Source organism: Homo sapiens, chromosome 11, assembly GCF_000001405.40.
Source record: "Homo sapiens chromosome 11, GRCh38.p14 Primary Assembly".
Classification (NCBI taxonomy): Eukaryota; Metazoa; Chordata; class Mammalia; order Primates; family Hominidae; genus Homo; species Homo sapiens.
Window position 1 is genome coordinate 86,867,463 of NC_000011.10, and position 20,751 is coordinate 86,888,213.

General features: G+C 42.7%; 1 protein-coding gene across 3 annotated transcripts in view; it reads left to right on the forward strand.

Annotated features, from left to right (window-relative positions):
• The window catches only part of PRSS23 (serine protease 23), a 161,840-nt gene that overhangs the window by 76,392 nt on the left and 64,697 nt on the right, over positions 1 to 20,751 (forward strand). The gene's annotated exons all lie outside the window — the stretch shown is intronic.

Below are 20,751 nucleotides of genomic sequence, written 5' to 3' on the forward strand. Positions count from 1 at the left end.
AGTGTACATACTGAGGAAGGGATCAATAAATGAATGGCAAGATGCTTTACTCTTCTCCCAACTTTCTTTCAGGGGTATAACAACCATCCTCCTTCTGAGACCCTAGTATACACCAAGCTATGAAAATAAAAGATAAGCCAGGCACAGTGGCTCATGCCTGTAATCCCAGCACTTTGAGAGGCCAAGGCTGGAGAATTGCTTGAGCCCAGGAGTTTGAGATCAGCCTGGGCAACATAGTGAGACCCTGTCTCTACAAAAAATAAAATAAGTTGAGTGTGCTGGCAAGTGCTTATAGTCCCAGCTACTTGGGAGGTTGAAGAAGGAGGGTCGCTTGAGCCCAGGAGGCTAAGGCTGCAGTGAGCTGAGGTTGTGCCACTGCACTCCAGCCAGTGACAGAGTGAGACCCTACCTCAAAAAAAAAAAAAAAAATACAACAGAGGATTTTGTAATGTGAGTGGAGGTATGGAAAAGAAGTGAAGGCCACTGAAGCACAACTTGAAAGAATATGCTAGGAGGCTACTCGCCTCGGCCCCTCTTCACCTCAGGGACCCCACTACAGCTCCACAACACATAATGAATGATAATTCAAGCCAAAGGCCAAGGAGGAAAAAAAAGTGAAGCCTAGGGGACATGGGAGCGAAAGGCTGAGCAAAGGCATTTGAGACCACAAGGAGCTGTGGGAGAGGACAGGAGAGGCTCCCAAGAGACCCTCAGAGCATTCATGAGCATGAAGGACAAAGGCTGAGCACACCCTGTGAACTCAATGGAGTGAAAGAAGCACTGACCATTCTCTAGTCAACATGAGACTTTGGTGGGTTCCTTGAGTGAGAAAGAGAAAACTGTTCTTCATCTCCTTCTGGGTTCCATGTGGTATGCTGGCTGAACAATAGCAAGTATGGATGATGGAGGCTGCACTGATCCACACTCAGTGGTTAAGAGCAGGGAAAGAGGTTATAAATGTTGTTGAAAGAGCAAAGGAATGACACATTCATTTATGTAAGGGGGCTTGACCGATATTAGGAGGAACAAGGGAACTCCTAGCCCCACAAGGCACTGGGTGACTTTTTATTATAGGGACCCCAGACATTGCAAAGACTCCTTCCCAGTCTCCCTTTGACCCTGTGTAGCCAAGAAAATGCCCTTGAGCACCATCTAATTTAGGTCATTGCATGCCATGGGATTCCTTGCAGCCTGTCACATCTTACTCTGGGAGGAGTGGCAAGGAAGTTAGTTGTCTGGATCTAACTAGCCCTAGAGAGGCAGCTTGCATAGAGGGAAGCAAAGCACTTTGGAATCAGAACACTTGGGTTGAAATCTTTCTCTGTCACTTCCCAACTCAGATTCTGTATAAATTTCTGTTTGTTTTTGAGACAGTGTGTCACCCTGTCACCCAGGCTGAAGTGCAGTAGTGCGATCACGGCTCACTGCAGCCTCAACCTCCCAGGCTCAGGTGATCCTCCCACCTCAGCCTTCTGAGTAGCTGGGACTACAGACTTGCACCACCATGCCCAGCTAACCTTTTGTATTTTTTGTAGAGATAGAGTTTTGCCATGTTGCCCGGGCTGCTCTAAAAGTCCTGGAGTCAAGCGATCTGCCTGCCTCAGCCTCCCAAAGTGCCACTGCTCCCTGCCAATTTTGGATAAGTTTTTAATGACTCTGAAATTCATTTGGAGTGAAAAACAGACATAATGTCAGCTATGCAAATGACTGTTGTGAGAAGAAAAGTAGGTAGACAAACATAACAGATTTGACAGAACATCGTTTGGAATGTAGTCAGTATTTAATAAATGGCAGATAATAACATGAGGGAGACTAAATACCATGATGTATCTAGAAAGCAGCAGCCATGATACATGAAGTTCACAGAAGTCATTTTCTGGTTCACATTTCATCCACATCTACATTCCTTTATCAAACATCAACTGGGCACCTATCAAGGGTTAGACACTATTTTAGGAGCAGAGGATATAGCTTTGAATGAGACAGACATGGGCCCCGCCTTCAAGTTGCTCCGAGCCTAATGAGAGAGGCAAACAATCACTGAAATCTGCCATGGTAAGTACTAGAAATGGCATTGTTCCCAGGGCACCAACGAGAAAGGGCTTGACTGTTTGGGGAAATGGGAAGAGGAGAGAGGCTCAAAGGAGTTAAATGATGTGTCCAAGGTTACAGAGCTGGATTAACTTCTGCAATGCCTCTCAAACGTGATGGTTTAGCTGCCTCATCATGCATCATAGCATCATAGTGCTCACCACCACCAACTGCAATTGTCCCACCAGGAGATGGAGCCCAGGAATCTTCCAGATACTCACGCAGCACCTCTCAGATTGGTCACTGTGAAATAAGCACCGTGTCTCCTAGATTATGAGCACTTTGAGGGCAAGAGCTACATATCTTTCAGAGCCCAACACAGGGTTTGAAACACAGTACGTCGTCAGTAAATATTGAATACTGAATTAATAAGTGAGTGGTACTCACAGAGTTTAACTGATTTGCACAAGATTACTTGGCTAATAAGCAGCAGGGCTGGTGCAGATACAAGTTCTCTGACTCTCTCTTTCAACACTGAGTAAAGGGAAAAAATGAACAACCAGTGAATGACTCCGCCTGGCCTGGAAGAGAAAAGATTCAAATGATCTTTTTTTCCCCAAATCGTTTTCACAGATTATGATATGGCTCCATCTGACCAGCAGAGGGCAGGCTTGGATGGAACTAGCATCCCAGGCCCTCTGACCAGAGTCATCATCTGTGCCTTGGCGCTACAGAGATGGTGATTTTTTTTTTTTAAGGGAGGGGAAAAAACAACAACAAAACCTACCAGAGCTGAAAGTCTTTTCCAAATTATCCCACCTATGTCAACATCCTGTCGTATTTATTGGATGGTTGGATCTGGATAGAAATAGGGCCTCGTACTGTGTTTAGTTCCCTGGATCCCTCGTAACCTATTTCCTTTTATCAGCCCAAAAGTAGCTTTAATCTATTCTCCTTTGGCAGAGATGGGGGTGAGCTAGAACAGGCATGGAGGGGAGGGGTAGACAAATAAGTCAGGAAAAGCTTCTGCTTAGATGGTAACATTTACTTTTTGTCAAATTTAAAACATTTTTGACCTTTATATTTTCAAAAGCGTTTTTCAATCCTTTTCATACTCTTCAGGGATTCCAATTACATATACCTTATATCACCTGAAATTGTCCCACAGGTCGATATGATTCTGTTTATTTATCAATCTTCCTTTCATCTGTGCATCAATTTTTTGTAGTTTCTTTTGATTTGTCTTCAAGTTTATTACCCCTTTCTTCTGCAGTGTCCAATCTTCTCTTTAACCCATCCAGTAAATTGTTCATTTCCAGTCTTGTATTTTTCAGTTCTACAATTGTCATTTGGTTTTTATAGTTTTAATTGTTGAGCTAAAATTCCTAATCTGCAATCATTCTGTCCACCTTTCTTTCAAATTCTTAAACACATTTATAATAGTTGTTTTAAAGTCTTTGTCTGCTAACTCCTACATCCATGTCATCTCTGGGACTATTTATATTGACAATTTTTTTCCTGATTATGAATTACATTTTCTAGCTTTTTTCATATCTAGTAATTTTTTATTATACACTGGACCAGCTGAATTGGAGCGCTTAGACTATATTTTCCTTTGAAGAGCATGGAGTTTTATTTTAGCACGCACTTAAGCTACTAGCAGATCATCTTGATCCTACTGAGGCTTGGTTTTATGCCTTTTTAGGGTGGGTGTAGAGTTGCCCTTACTTCAGGCAATGATCCTTAATTCTAAAATGTGGTCTTTTTAACATCTCAGTTAAATTCTCTGAGTTTTCGATGGGATTTCTTCACTTTAAATGGTTGGAATGTCAACATCTCCAAGCACTGTGTGACCTCTGGAATCATTGTTCAGTTCTCAGCTCACCAGGAACTCTTCTCTTTTAGGCCTTGTGTAGTCTTACCCTGCATATATGCAGCTTAGTTTTCAAAGACCCAATGGGTTCTCTCTGCATATTTTTAAAGTTCCTGCTCTGTACAGTATTCTCTTCTCCAGTACCCTGTCCCACAAATTCTGGCCACCTCAGTAGCCCCAAACTCTATTTCTATTTCTTCCACTCAGCAAAACATCAGAGAACTGCAATCTCTTCCCAAATCATTTTGTAAGTTTCTCTTCTGTTAAGCCTCACAATCGTGTGACTTCTAACCTCCAATGACTGACAACAATTGCCTCATATATTTTATTCCATTTTGTTGTCATTGATAGTGGGAGGAGAACTCTGATATTCATAACTCTACATTGGGAGATATAGAAAGTCAGGAGGTAACATTTAAGCTGAGACTCATAAGATGACAAGAAGCCAACTATGCAGAAAGCCACAGGAATAACATGTTCAGGCAGAAGGGTCAACATGTACACAGGCCAGATAGCAAAGCTTGCTATATTTCTCTCCAGAGAAAATATGTATATATGTGTGACTGTATTTGTGTGCACACATAGGTTGGTAAACATCTATGTAACTAAAGCTATCTCAAATGGCATAATAGTAAAAGCATGGGCTCTGGAATCAAACATCCCAGGGGCAAATCCTGCCACTTACAATTAGCAGTAAGGGGTGTTCAGCAATTCACTTAACTCTTGGTTTCAACTCTTTCTTGTGTCAAATGAGGCTTGTTACATACATGCAGCAGGACTCTCGTGGGGATTAAATGTGATAATGTATGTTAAGTATCTAGCAAGATAATGGAATAAATAGTATATAATGTGTTATTATTTCCTCTTCTGTAAGTTTTTAAATAATGTTCAAAGAGTGAAATATAATGTATAAAATATGGGGCAATGTATAAAATACAGAAACTATTTTCCAAATATAAATACCACTTTTCTGAGTTCTTTAAAGTTCTTGAATATCAAGTTATTCAACTAGGAACAAAGGAAAGTTTCACACCTATCCCACACTTAACACGTTCCTGATTCCAACATTCTCTTATTTGGGTTATTTATAAACATATCCGTACTCTGCCCATTCCTCCACCCTCAGGTCAGACTGTTAAGGTCATTTGAGTGCAGAGACAAGTTTTATTTATATTTGTCTCTCTTACAGACAGTGGCCCAGCATCTAGCACATAGTATGTTTTTTCAAACATTATGAATTTTTCTTCAAAGGAGTAAATAGACTTAATTTTTCATACAAGAAAATAAAATTTGGAGTTATGCATATACCACACCAAAGCAATCTGTTATAATGATGAAAACCCAATTATCCCATTGTGATTCTACTTAATACTGAACAACCCACCAGGAGTAGTAGAAAGAAATGGGAAAACAGAGACCTGGTTTCAAAACCTAGCTCCCTCCTATTTACTAAATGACCTTGAGTAAGTTGCTTAATAGCCTGAATTTCAGTTTCCTTATCTATGACAAAGGGATAATAACTACCTCATGGGGTCTGTTATAAAGATTATTAAGAAATAATATATCTAAAGACTCTACCACAGAGCATCCATGCTACATTGTAGGAACTCAGTTCTCATCATTCAATGGACTCAATCAACTATTAATTAACTCTGAATTTTTATGTACAACAGTAAGTCTGGCTGATCCTCCACTGTATTTCAGGGGCTATGGTGGACACCCACCTATGATATTGTCTATCCAACCCCCTCTGTCCATTTGAGAATAGTTCTTCTTTCAATTGCAACCTTGTGATTTGCACACACAGGAAATTATATATATACATATATATACACACACACACACACACAGATATATGTATATATATATACACACACACACATATATATGTATATATATATACACACACATATATATACATATATATATATTTTTTTTCTTTTTGAGATGGAGTTTCACTCTGTTATCCAGGCTGGAGTACAGTGGTGCAATCTCAGCTCAATACAACTTCTGCCTCCCAGGTTCAAGTGACTCTCCTGCCTCAGCCTCCTACAGGCATGCACCACCATGCCCAGCTCATTTGTGTGTGTGTTTTTAGTAGAGTCGGGGTTTTCCTATGTTGGCCAGGCTGGTCTCGAACTCCTGAACTCAAGCGATCCTCCCACCTCAGCCTCCCAAAGTGTTGGGATTGTAGGCATGAGCCACCGTGCCCAGCCTATATTCTTAAAGATTGTACCCCTGGCCATAGCTGATTGGTCCAGAGATGGGCATCTAACCCATGCAAGGCCACTCAGAGCCTTTCCCTCAATTTTTCAAACTCAAAGTAAGTAAACACCTCACTGATGGTGAATGTTGCAAGATGTGAAATTTGTGAGTTTTGACAACCATGTTCCACTATCAGATGGAGGAAGCCAATCTGTAGAGCAAGAGAATGAACGGACGGAACATGAGAGGCATAAAAGAGAACCAGAGAGAGGGAGATGTGGAAGCATTTGAGTTCCTGACACTAAGTTGCATCAGAGCTCTTCCTGTGATTTAGTTACTCAGACTTTCATTCATGTGAAGTTCCTGTGTTATTCTGAGTCCTATGAGCAGTTCTGAGGTGAGATTAGAAGTGCAAGACATAGATTAGGGAAAATATCTAATCTATGTCTTGTGATGGAAAATGTGAGAGAAAATGTGGATGGAGACAGAGAAGGCTGGGAGAGCCATCAGACCAAGAAGAGGGTTTAATCTTTGTGAAGAGAAGAATAAAGGGGAAAGGTTGGGTGGAAGAATCTTGGGCTGCAGTGCAGTTCGAAGGAAGTTCACCAAGTCCGATGGAGAATCCTTGAGCCAGAGTCACCTATCAGAGGAGTCCTGTGTCTCCCAAGAACAGCCCAATACAGAATCTTGCCACATTCACTCACCGGCTGGGAGCAACTTGTGTAGGGTTGCCAGATTACATATAGGACACGCAGTTAAATTTGAATTTGAATTTCAGATAAATGATGAAACATTTGTTAATATAAATAGGTCCCAAATATTGCATGGGCATCCTGTATTTTTATTTGCTAAATCTGACACGCCTAAGCTTGTGGGAGCACTTGTATTCAGTGTAACACAGTAAGAGATTTGAGTGCAGCAGCTGGGACCATCCGCCAGTCATGCTGTCATAATCAGGGATCTGTGAGGCACAGCCCCGTGGCCACTACAGTACACCTTCCAGTAGATTTCTCTTCTTCCAAAACTAGTCGGAGTTTACCTTTTTCACTTGCAATCTAAAGAATTCTGACTGATTGCTACAGTTACCTATTGACTTATAACACACAATTCCCAACTTTGTAGTGTAAAACAAAAACTATTTTATTATGCCTGTGGGTTCTGTGGGTCATGAATTGGGATATTTTATAGGGAGGATGGCTTATCTCTGCTCCACAATGTCTGAGGCCTCATCTGGGATGCAAAAACAGAGGATGATACAAGTGGCCGAAGGGCTGAGTCATCTGGAGGCTTCTTCACTGGTATGTCTGGTGCCTAGGCTGGAAGGACTTGAGGGCTGTGCTCAGTTGAGACTGTGAACCAGAATGCCTTCACATGTCTTCTCCATGTGGCATGGAATTCCTCACAACATGACTGCATCAGGGTAGTTGGATTTTTTCCTTAGAGGCTTAGGACCCCAAGCATGATTGTTTCAGTAAATAAGGCAGGAACTGCATGGTCTTTAATGTCTTAGCCTCAAAAGTTACCCAGTCTCACAACTGCTGTATCCTACTGGTCAAAGCAAGCACAAGCCACCTACATTCAAGGAGAGGGGATCTAGACCCCACCTTATGATGAGAAAGAATTTATAGGCATATTTTTAAAGTGCCACAATTAGCCGGGTGTGGTGGCGGGTGCCTGTAATCCCAGCTACTCAGGAGGCTGAGGCAGGAGAATCACTTGAACCCGGGAGGTGGAGGTTGCAGTGAGCCAAGATCATGCGGTTGCACTCCAGCCTGGGCAACAAGAGCGAAACTCTGTCTCAAAAATATATATATAAAATAAATGAAATAAAGTGCCACATTAGTTAGTTGACCAGGCTCAGCACATGATTTTTAAAAATCCCTCTTGCCTCTTAATGTCTGTGAAAGACCGTGCTCTGGTAGGAACGCTGACTCTTTCAGAAAGCAAGAACTCAAATGTTTTGTGAGTCTATGGCATAAAGTCCTTTCCTAACATCTACTCAGAGCATCCTTGGGGGTACCAACAAGACCACTAACTTTTTCTGCACTCTTTCTTGACTAACAACCCTTCGATTAAAAATTTAAGCAACTGCGTAATATAGAAGGAACATCAGAACAAGTTTATTTTCTTTACAGACAGAGACCTCCAATCCCATCAATTATTCTCTGTCATTTGGTGTAAAGCTGCAGATAGAGGTTACAACAGCTGTGAGGATGTGCAGAAGGAAAATGAGAACAGCCTTTTTTATCTTCAGAGACTTTGGGCAGACCAACTATCATTCTCACAACCAACTTTCTAAAGACTTTTGACAATCTGGATATCAGTAATAGTTGATTGAAAAGTACTTCTTCATTGTATCATCTGTGCAAGAATCCATAATTAAAAATATAAAATAAAACACTGTGGGCTCCTTTATATGGCAGACATGGATTTAAATTCTACCTTTTCTCCCATTTTTGTCTAGGTAGACGTGTACAAGTCACTCTGCCTTTCTGAGACTTATTTTCCACACAGTGCAATGCAATTAATAACCCTGCCTGAAAGACTGAGTGTGAGAATTAGAATAATAAATATAAAATAAAGCACCCAGAAGATTGCATAGTGGCGGGTGAGATATAAAAAGAAATTTCGGAGTAAACATCACCAGATGCTTGCCATGTACCAAACACCATACTAGAAACTGCAGGGGACACAGGGATGATCAAGGCACAGTTCTTGTCACCAGAAATAACATAGTTGATTAAAGGACTAGCCTATCTGCTATGAAGGAATCAGCGAGTATGAGGCTGAGTTCCAAGTAAGGTGTGTCCTAGCATTCTCTGGCTAACCATTATTGCCTCAGTTTCCTCATCTGTTATGATGAGAATAATAATAACCACCTTGCCTACCTCACAGGGTTATTCTGAATATTACCTAAATAGTAGGGATTAAAGTCCTTGGTAAATACTAAAATATTAAAGTGTAGTCTTGCCTCACTAACCAAAGTGTGGCCCATGGACCACCAGAATTGACATCACCTAGGAGCTGGTTAGAAATGCAGACTCTTAGGCCCCACCACAGACCTACTGAATCAGAGTTTATTGTTTAACAAGACTATTCGTGATTCCTATGCTCATTAATGTTGGAAAGACAGTGATCTATATAACAGTTAACATTGCAATAAAAAAAAAAACGAAGCAATTTGATTCATTTCAAAGCAACCTATGGGCCCATGCAAAATGATCTAATAAAAATTAAAAGCCTAATTTCTAAGAAAACCAATTAGAAAGACAAGTGGGCCCCTAAATAGGACAGGCTAAATAGGAGGCATTCCTAGAGGTTGTGGAATTTTAAAAATGTGCTTCAGTCTCACCACTAATGTCAACTGAGTAAAGAGTCTCCATCATAAGAAAGAGTTGTATAACCTGTCTTCTACCTGCACGGCTGAGCCCTGGCCAAGCAGGTCATTTTAGCCATCTCAATGAGCGAGGCACTTCATGGTGCACTGGGCCCACTGTGGCAACTGCAATCAAATCAAGATGGGTAATGTGCAGTATAAGTGTTTAGCCCTCACAGTGCCTCATTCAGCCCTCTATTATGGCTTTATCCATTGTACCCTATTATCTGTGTTCAGGTCTGTCTCCTCCACTGCACTGTGAGCTCCTTGGGGGTCAAGGGCAATGACTGTTTTCTCTGTAATCTCTCAACTCTCAGCACAGTGCTACTGCAAAACTGATGGGAAGATTTAGTGGGGGATTAAAGGGAAAGTCCCCATTTTGGTCAGACCCAATGTGGACACCTTTTCTTCTTACACGGTTCCCGTTCTTCTGATCCCCTTCTCCGTACATGTCTCAAAAGCTCTTATTCTTCACCTGTGCAGTCTTTGGATTCATTTTAAACAGAATTTTTATTAACATATTTTTATTGAGGCTTTTTCTATTTTGAATTATTATAACTTTTATATACACTGGAAGGTAAGGGAGGTGTTCAACTTTATTGTTTGCATATGGCTATCTAGTTGTCTCAGCACTATTTGTTGAAAAGACTATTCTTTGCCACCACTGAATTGTCTTGGCACTCTTGTCAGAAATCAATTTACTGTATATGAAACTGCCTCAGTTCTATTCCATCTGTCTTTATGTCTATCCTTATGCCAGTGCCATACAGTCTTGATAACTGTACTGTTTTATTGCTTTGAAATCAGGAAGTGTGAACTCTCCAACTTTGTTTGTTTTCAAAACTCTTTTGGCTATTCAGGGTCCCTTGCAATTCCATATGAATTTTAGGATCAACTTTTTCATTTCTGCAAAAAAAAAAAAGAGGTGGGGTGGGGGGTGTGCAGGTAGGATTTTGATAATTATTGCATTGACTCTGTGGGCCATTTTATGGAGTATTACCATGTTGACAATATTAAGTTTTAACAATTCTTGAACACAGGATGTCTTTCCATTTATTTAAATTTCTTTAAATTTCTTTCAGTAATGATTTGTAATTTTTGATGTACACATTTGCACCTCTTTTTTATATTGTATCAAAATTGGAATTGTACTATATTTGATATTACTGCATCCAAAACTAAAATTGTTTTTTAAGTTTCATTTTTGATTGTTCATTGGCAATATATAAAAATACACTTGAGAAAAAAATTTGGATTTCTCCCTCTCCCTCCCCCTACCCCTCCCCCTCCCTCTCCCTCATCTCCGTCTCCCTCTCCCCACGGTCTCCCTCTCCCTCTCTTTCCACGGTCTCCCACTGATGCCCAGCCGAAGCTGGACTGTACTGCTGCCATCTCGGCTCACTGCAGCCTCCCTGCCTGATTCTCCTGCCTCAGCCTGCCAAGTGCCTGCGATTGCAGGCGCGCGCCGCCACGCCTGACTGCTTTTCGTATTTTTTTGGTGGAGACGGGGTTTCGCTGTGTTGGCTGGGCTGGTCTCCAGCTCCTAACCGCGAGTGATCCGCCAGCCTCGGCCTCCTGAGGTGCCAGGATTGCAGACGGAGTCTGGTTCACTCAGTGCTCAATGGGGCCCAGGCTGGAGTGCAGTGGCGTGATCTCGGCTCGCTACAACCTCCACCTCCCAGCCGCCTGCCTTGGCCTCCCAAAGTGCCGAGATTGCAGCCTCTGCCCGGCTGCCACCCCGTCTGGGAAGTGAGGAGCGTCTCTGCCTGGCCGCCCATCGTCTGGGACGTGAGGAGCCCCACTGCCTGGCTACCCAGTCTGGAAAGTGAGGAGCGTCTCTGCCCGGCCACCATCCCATCTAGGAAGTGAGGAGCGCCTCTTCCCTGCGGCCATCCCGTCTAGGAAGTGAGGAGCGCCTCTTCCCTGCGGCCATCCCATCTAGGAAGTGAGGAGCGTCTCTGCCCGGCCGCCATCCCGTCTAGGAAGTGAGGAGCGTCTCTGCCCGGCCGCCATCCCGTCTAGGAAGTGAGGAGCGTCTCTGCCCGGCCGCCATCCCGTCTAGGAAGTGAGGAGCGTCTCTGCCCGGCAGCCATCCCGTCTAGGAAGTGAGGAGCGTCTCTGCCCGGCCGCCATCCCGTCTAGGAAGTGAGGAGCACCTCTTCCCGGCCGCCATCCCGTCTAGGAAGTGAGGAGCGCCTCTTCCCGGCCGCCATCCCATCTAGGAAGTGAGGAGCGTCTCTGCCCGGCGGCCCATCATCTGAGATGTGGGGAGCGCCTCTGCCCCGCCGCCCCGTCTGGGATGTGAGGAGCGCCTCTACCCAGCTGCGACCCCGTCTGGGAGGTGAGGAGCGTCTCTGCCCAGCCGCCCCGTCTGAGAAGTGAGGAGACCCTCTGCCTGGCAACCGCCCCATATGAGAAGTGAGGAGCCCCTCCGCCCGGCAGCCACCCCGTCTGGGAAGTGAGGAGTGTCTCTGCCTGGCAGCCACCCCATCCGGGAGGGAGGTGGGGGTCAGCCCCCGCCAGGCCAGCCGCCCCGTCCGGGAGGGAGGTGGGGGGATCAGCCCCCCACCCGGCCAGCCGCCCCGTCCGGGAGGGAGGTGGGGGGGTCAGCCCCCCGCCCGGCCAGCCGCCCCGTCAGGGAGGTGAGGGGCGCCTCTGCCCGGCCGCCCCTACTGGGAAGTGAGGAGCCCCTCTGCCCGGCCAGCCGCCCCGTCCGGGAAGGAGGTGGGGGGGTCAGCCCCCCACCCGGCCAGCCGCCCCATCCGGGAGGGAGGTGGGGGTGTCAGCCCCCCGCCCGGCCAGCCGCCCCGTCCGGGAGGGAGGTGGGGGGGTCAGCCCCCTGCCCGGCCAGCCGCCCCGTCCGGGAGGGAGGTGGGGGGGGTCAGCCCCCCGCCCGGCCAGCCGCCCCGTCCGGGAGGTGAGGGGCGCCTCTGCCCGGCCGCCCCTACTGGGAAGTGAGGAGCCCCTCTGCCCGGCCACCACCCCGTCTGGGAGGTGTACCCAACAGCTCATTGAGAACGGGCCATGATGACAATGGCGGTTTTGTGGAATAGAAAGGGGAGAAAGGCGGGGAAAGGATTGAGAAATCGGATGGTTGCCGTGTCTGTGTAGAAAGAGGTAGACACGGGAGACTTTTCATTTTGTTCTGTACTAAGAAAAATTCTTCTGCCTTGTGATCCTGTTGATCGGTGACCTTACCCCCAACCCTGTGCTCTCTGAAGCATGTGCTGTGTCCACTCAGGGTTAAATGGATTAAGGGCGGTGTAAGATGTGCTTTGTTAAACAGATGCTTGAAGGCAGCATGCTCATTAAGAGTCATCACCACTCCCTAATCTCAAGTACCCAGGGACACAAACACTGCGGAAGGCCGCAGGGTCCTCTGCATAGGAAAACCAGAGACCTTTGTTCACTTGTTTATCTGCTGACCCTCCCTCCACTATTGTCCTATGACCCTGCCAAATCCCCCTCTGTGAGAAACACCCAAGAATGATCAATAAAAAAAATAAAAAAAATAAAAAGATAAGCCAAAAAAAAATACACTTGACTTTTTTTTAACTTTAAGTTCCTGGATATATGTGCAGAATGTGCAGGTTTGTTACATAGGTATACATGTGCCATGGTGATTTGCTGCACCTATTAACCCATCATCTAGGTTTCAAGCCCTGCATTAGGTATTTGTCCTAATGCCCTCCCTCCCCTTGCCCTCCACCTACCAACAGGCCCTGGTGTGTTGTTCCCCTCCCTGTGTCCATGTGTTCTCATTGTTCAACTCCCACTTATGAGTGAGAACATGCAGCATTTGGTTTTCTGTTCCTGTGTTAGTTTGCTGAGAATGATGGTTTCCACCTTCATCCATGTCCCTGCAAAGGACACGATCTCATTATTTTCTTATGGCTGCAGAGTATTATATGGAAAAATACTCTTGATTTTTAGATATCAATCTTGCATTCTTCAACCTTGCAGAATTTATTTATTAGCCCTAGTAATGTTTTTGTGGATTCCATAAGATTTTCTGTACGCAATATGATGTCATCCATTAACAGAGACAGTTTTGCTTCTTCCTTTCCAATCTCGATTATTTGATTGCTTTTTTCATTCATAATTACCCTGGCTAGAACCTCCAGTATAATGTTGAATAGACATAGCAAGATCAGACATTCTTGTCTTGTTGCTTATGTTAGGGAAAAAGCTTTCAGTCTTTCACCTATTAAGTAGGATATTAACTGTGAGTTTTTGCTAGATTTCCTCAGGTTGAGGAAGTTCCCTCTAACTGTTGAGGAAACAGGTAGAAGAAACTTTGTTGAGTGCTTTTTTTTTTTTTTTTATCATGAAATGGTGTTGGTGTTTGTCAAATGTTTGGCTTTTTTTTGTTGGTTTTTTCTTTTTTTTGCATCTATTGAGGTGATCATGTAGGGTTTTTCTCTGTATTCTATTAATATGGTGCATCACGTTGATTAATTTGCATATATTGAAACAAACCTGCATTCCTGAGATAACTCCCACTTAGTCTTGGTGTATATTTTTTTTAAAATATATGGCTGAATTCAGTTTGCTAGTATTTTGTTGAAGATTTTGCACCTACATTCATAAGAGATACTGCTCTATCATTTCCCTTTCTTGTGATGTCTTTGCCTGATTTAAATATGCTGGCCTCAAAGAATGTGTTAGCCTCATAGAAAGTGTTCCCTCTTCTATTTTTTTGAATAATGTGTGAAAAATTGGTGTTAATTCTTCTTTAAATGTTTGGTAGAATTCACCAGTGAAATCATCTGGTCCTGGACTTTTCTTTGTGGGAAGTTTTCTCATTAGTAATTCAATCTCCTTATTTGTTATAGGCCTATGAAGATTTATTATCTCTTCTTGAGTCAAATTCATTAGTGTGTGTCTTTCTAGCAATTTGTCCATTTCATCTAGGTTATCTAATTTTTTGGCATATATATTAATTGTTCATAGTATTCCCTTGTAAACCTTTTTATTTTTATAACACCAGTAGTAATGTCCCCTCTTTCATTCCAGACTTAAGTGATGTGAATCTTCTCTCTTTTGTTCATGGTCAGCCCACTTAAATGTTTGTCAATTTGGTTGATCATTTCAAAGAACCAAGTTTTTATTTCATTGATTTTCTCTGTTGTTTTACTATTCTCGATTTCATTATTTCTGCTCCAATATTTATTATTTACTTACACCTGCCTTGGGATTAGTTTGCTCTTCTTTTTCTAGTTTCTTAAAGTGGAAGCTTAGGTTATTAATTTGAGGTCTTTTTTAACTTTTAAATTCAGGAGTACATGTGCAGGATGTGTAGGTTTGTTAGTAAATGCATGTCATGAGGGTTTCTTGTACCAATTATTTCATCACCCAGGTATTAAGTCTAGAACCCATTAGTTATTTTTCCTGATCCTCTCCCTCCTCCCACTCTCCACCTTCTGACAGGCCCCAGTGTGTGTTGTTCCCCTCTATGTGTCCATGTGTTCTCATTATTTAGCTCCCACTTGTAAGCAAAAACATGTGGTATTTGGTTTTCTGTGCCCGTGTCAGTTTGCTAAGGATAATGGCCTCCAGCTCCATCCATGTCCCTACGAAGGGCATGATCTCGTTTTTTTAATGCCTGCATATATTTCATGGCGTAAATGTACCATATTTTATCTAGTCTGTCATTGACAGGCATTTAGGTTGATTCCATGTCTTTGCTATTGTGAATAGTGCTGCAATGAACATACATGTACATGTGTCTTTATAATAGAACACTTCCTATTTCTTTGGGTATATCCTCAGTAATGAGAGTGCTGGGTGGAATGGTATTTCTGACCTTAGTTCTTTGAAGAATCGCCACATTGTCTTCCACAATGGTTGAACTAATTTACACTCCTACCGACAGTGTGTAAGTGTTCCTTTTTCTCCACAACCTCATCAGCATCTGTTATTTTTTCACTTTTTAATAATAGACATTCTGACTGGTGTGAGATGGTATCTCATTGTGGTTTTGGTTTGCATTTCTCCAAGGGTCAGTGATGTTCAGCTTTTTTTCATACACTTTTTGGCCACATCTGTATCTTCTTTTAGGAAGTATCTGTTCATGGCCTTTGCCTACTTTTTAATGGTGTTGTTTGTTTCTTTCTGGTAAATTTGTTTAAGTTCCTTATAGATGCTGGATATTAGACCTTTGTCAGATGCAGAGTTTGCAAAAATTTTCTCCTATTCTGTAGATTGTCTGTTTACTCCGTTGAAAAAAGAGTCTGAATAGCCAAGGCAATCCTAAGCAAAAAGCTGGAGGCATCATGCTACTCGACTTCAAACCATACTACAGGGATACAGTAACCAAAACAGCATGGTACTGGTACAAAAACAGACACATAGGCCAATGGAACAGAATAGAGAACCCAGAAATAAGACCACACACCTACAACTATCTGATTTTTGACAAACCTGAGAAAAACAAGCAATGGGGAAAGGATTCCCTATTCAGTAAATGGTGCTGGAATAACTGGATAGCCATATGCAGAAAATTGAAACTGGACTCCTTCTTTACACTATATACAAAAATTAACTCAAGATGGATTAAAGACTTAAATGTAAAACCCCAAACTATAAAAACCCTGGAAGACAACCTAGGCAATACCATTCAGGATGTGGGCATGGGCAAAGATTTCATGATGAAGACGCCAAAAGCAAATTCAATAAAAGCAAAAATAGATGAATGGGATCTAATTAAACTAAAGAGCTTCTGCACAGAAAAGGACTTAATCTATTTTTAAATATACGTGTTTACCTCTATAATTTCCCTCCAAGCATTGCTTTTGTGTATCCTATATGTTTTGGTATGTTGTGTTTTCATTTTCATTCATTTCAAAGTGTTTTCTAATTTCCCTTGTGATTTTTCTCTTTAATCCACTGGTTTTTAGGAGTGTGTTGTTTGATTTCTACATATTTATGAATTGTAAGCATTAGTATGCTTCCTAAGCACCTCAAATTTAGCAGCCCAAAATCGAACTAACTTTTTTATCTCTTCTACCTCACCTTGCTTTTCATCCTATCTTCCTTAGCTTTATGATATGCACCATTATTTACCCACTTCCCAAGACAGAAACCCTGGAGATATCCCATATCATTAATATTTAATTCTCTCTTATGGCTATAGCCAGTAAATCATCTAGTCTTATTGCCTCTCCATCCCCTTCCTCCCCAGTTTTTGGCATGCATCATGTCCTCTGTCTTTACCAACACTACTCTATACTGGCTACTCTCATCATCTCTCTCCTTGACTGTTACATCTATCGCCATTTGGCCTATAGTTTTTGACCCTTCCAATTCACCCCCCACATTGCCAACAAAATATTCTTGCACTCATATTTGTTTTTGTTTTGTTTTGTTTTGAGACAGAGTCTCACTCTGTCACCCAGGCTGGAATGCAGTGGTGCGATCTCGGCTCACTGCCACCTCCACCTCCTGGGTTCAAGTGATTCTCCTGCCTCAGCCTCCCAAGTAGCTGGGATTACAGGCACGTGCCACCAAACTCAACTAATTTTTGTATTTTTAGTAGAGACGGGGTTTCTCCATGCTGGCCAAGCTGGTCTCGAACTCCTGACCTCAGGTGATCTGCCCCCAACCTGGCCTCCCAAAGTGCTGGGATTACAGGCGTAAGCCACCACACCCAGTCTTGCACTCATATTTGATTATATGATTTTCTTTCTCAAAACCTTATTACCCATGGAACAATCTCCAAATTGCTTTGCATAACACATAAGCCTTCAAGATACGGCCACTGTCTCCCTAACCTGCCTCTTGTCCCACCATTCCCCTACACTATCATATCTTACTCTGTTCATCCAGAAAATGCATATATTATTGAACATGCCATGTGTCATTCATGCTACCATGACCTTGAATGGTGTTGCCTTAGCTCCTAGGTATCTCCCACAAAACTTGGCATCCCTAAAATTGACATCTTTCATGTCAGCTGAAAAACTGCCACCTCTGGAAATTATGCCATTTCCCCAAACAAATTTAGGTGTTTCTCCTATACTCACAATATATTTGTCTCTGTCTTCAGTAAAGCAATTATTTTATTATATTGTGCTCATTGGAATATTTCAAGAAAACAGCTTCTTGAAGACAGGACATTTATTTTATTTATCTCTACATTTCCAGTGCTACAGTAAAGTTTGGCCTAAAATAAGTATTCGGTGATTAAATCTCCATTGTTCAGTACCCTACCACATACTATATAACATCATTAAATTTCTATCACCATCAGTGACTCAAGAATGTTACTGATTTAACTATATCATCCCAAGAACTTCATAGGCAAAATTAGCAAAGGAAAGCACAGAAACCTGAAGCCCTTTCCCGGCACTGTGATGGAATAATATTATGCACACCATATGACTCTCTTTGTCAAATTTTCTGATTCCATAAATTAGAGGCGAAGTCCCATATTCACTCCTATGATGGTTAACTTTGTTAACTTGGCTAGGACACAGTGCCCAGATATTTGGCCAAACATTATTCTACATATTTCTATGAGGGTATTTGGATGAGATTAACATTTGAATCAGTGGACTGTGAGTAAACGGATTACCCTCCATAATGTGTGTGGGCTTCATCCAGTCAGTTGAAGGTCTTAACAGAACAGACTGATCTCCCTTGAGCAAAAAGCAATTCTGCCAGCAGGCATCCTTCAGACTTGAACTGCAACATTAGTTCTTCCCTGTGCCTCCAGCCTGCTGATCTATCCCGCAGATTTTTGACTTGCCAGGCTTCATATTCATAATCACCTAAACCAATTGTTTAAAATCTCTCTTTCTCTCTCCCTCTCTCTTTATAAATTCACACATCCTATCTTATTGGTCCTGTTGCTCTGGAGAACCCTGACTAATACACTGTCTAGGAATCTTTTCCATTGGCATGGGCATTAGGTCTTTCATTTTAAAAGAAGAATTCAGAAAATATGTCCATCAACTTCTCTAAAGGCTGAGCAATTTATTATGTTCTTGCTTGCAAGATGGCAAGTGTGGGCTATCTGGTAGTTAATGATGATGATGATGATGGTGATAGCAGGTAACATTTAGGAAGTGATTACTCTCTGACAAGCATTGTGCTAAGTGTTTTATATGTTATCTCACATAATTTGTGCAACAGACCAGCCATGATGGCTAACATCTGTAATCCCAGCACTTTGGGAAGCTGAGGCAGGAGAATTGCTTGAGTCCAGGAGATTGAGGCCAGCCTGGACAACAGTGAGACCCCATCTCTAATAATAATAATAATTTGTGCAATGGGTGCTTTTAGGAATATAGCCCCACAGTTGTCAGCCCTTTCCAAAAATTGCCCTCAGCTGGAGAGAGCTACCTCATTTGAGGCCACACTCCCTTCAGGGAAAGGACAGCCTGCTTCCCATGATGGATCATTTGTAGGAGTATAAAGACCTCAGCTCCCTCCCTGCACTGCAACACAACTCTGAAGTGCTCTCCCAGCTTTAAACTGTCCTGTGAAGTTGCGTGAAGCCTCTGTTAAAACTGTACTGCAGCTCAGTTTCTCTGTCTGCCCAAATCTGCTTCTTTTGCTCCCTCTTCACAGGTGTTAATCCTAAAGCACTCCCTAATAAACTTCCTGCATATTAATCTGCATCTTAGAATTTGTCTCTCAGAGGACCCAACCTGCAACAATCCTGTTATGAAGATTAAATGTAATAGTCCCCATAAAGTGGACTTGCAGCCAGGTGCGGTGGCTCATGCCTGTAATCCCAATACTTTGGGAGGCCGAGGTGGGCAGATCACTTGAGGTCAAAAGTTTGAGACCAGCCTGGCCAACATGGCAAAACCCCATCTTTACTAAAAATACAAAAATTAGCCAGGCATGGTGGTGGGCACCTGTAATCCCAGCTACTGGGGAGGCTGAGGCAGGAGAATTGCTTGAACCCGGGAGGCAGAAGTTGAACCCAGGAGCTGAGATCGCGCCACTGCCCTCCAGCATGGGCAATAAGAGTGAGACTCCATCTAAAAAAATAAATAAATAAAAAAGTGGACTTTCCCAAGACCTAACATTAAGTAAGTAGTCAAACGATGGAATTATTACTATGTGCCACCTAAAAAGGTAGGAACTATTATTATCCCCAGTTTATAGATGAAGAAATTGGACTTTAAGGAGGTTAAATAATTCACCCAAGATCACTATATAGCAGAACTCAAGGTAGATATCAAATACAGATATGACTGACTCCAGAGCTGTGCTCGTTCTTATTACACAATCCTGGCTTCTTTTAAAAATTATTCTGGAGACTTTTCCCAAATGCAATATCTGGAGGAAGGTACATCGCAGGTGGGGACTGGGTTCTTGAGGCAATGTTTGGTAGCAGCTTGGGATGGTAGAGAATTATAGTCAAATGCCAACTCTGCCCAAGATGTGAAATGGGAAATGGGAAATGACCAGAAGGGGTCAAAAAAACAGTCAGGAAAAAAACAAAACAAAACAAAAAAAAAAAAACAGAAGCATGAACGTCCCAGCAAAAAAGCCAGGACTATCTCAGGAGGGAAATTTCACAGTGAATGTGAGGGAATAGATGAGAAGATTCAGCAAATATTCCCTGTGAGCACATGGAACACCCCTTTACGGAAGCACTTTAAAAAGTCAAATAGTCCTGATGCCCACTGTGAAAGAATATTATAACTGTCCCAGGAATCACATTCAATTCCACACATAATAATTACCGTGCACCTACGTTATTTCTGTCTTCGAGGAGCTCATAGTCCGGTGTACTGGGAGTAGGGGTGGGAGGGAAGAGAGGCAGACACACACACTGAACAACTAAATAATATTACACAATGTTGGCTGGGCGCAGTGGCTCATGCCTGTAAACCCAGCACTTTGGGAGGCCGAGGTGGGCAGATCACCTGAGGTCAGGCGTTCGAGACCAGCCTGCCCAACACAGTGAAAATGTGTCTCTACTAAAAATACAAAATTTAGCCGTGTGTGGTGGCGGGCGCCTGTAATCCCAGCTACTCGGGAGGCTGAGGCAGGATAATTGCTTGAATCTGGGAGGCAGAGGTTACAGTGCACCAAGATTGCGCCATTGCACTCCAGCCTAGGTAACAAGAGTGAAACTCTGTCTCAAAAAAAAAAACAAAAACAAAAACACACACACACAATGTTACTGAGCATCAAGTTGGTTTTTTTTAAAAAAAAACAAAACAAAACAAAACCTAAGCTGCCACATAAGGCATGGTTAATTCTGCTCAGGAAGACCCTAGAAGGCTTTACAGGGGAGGCAACA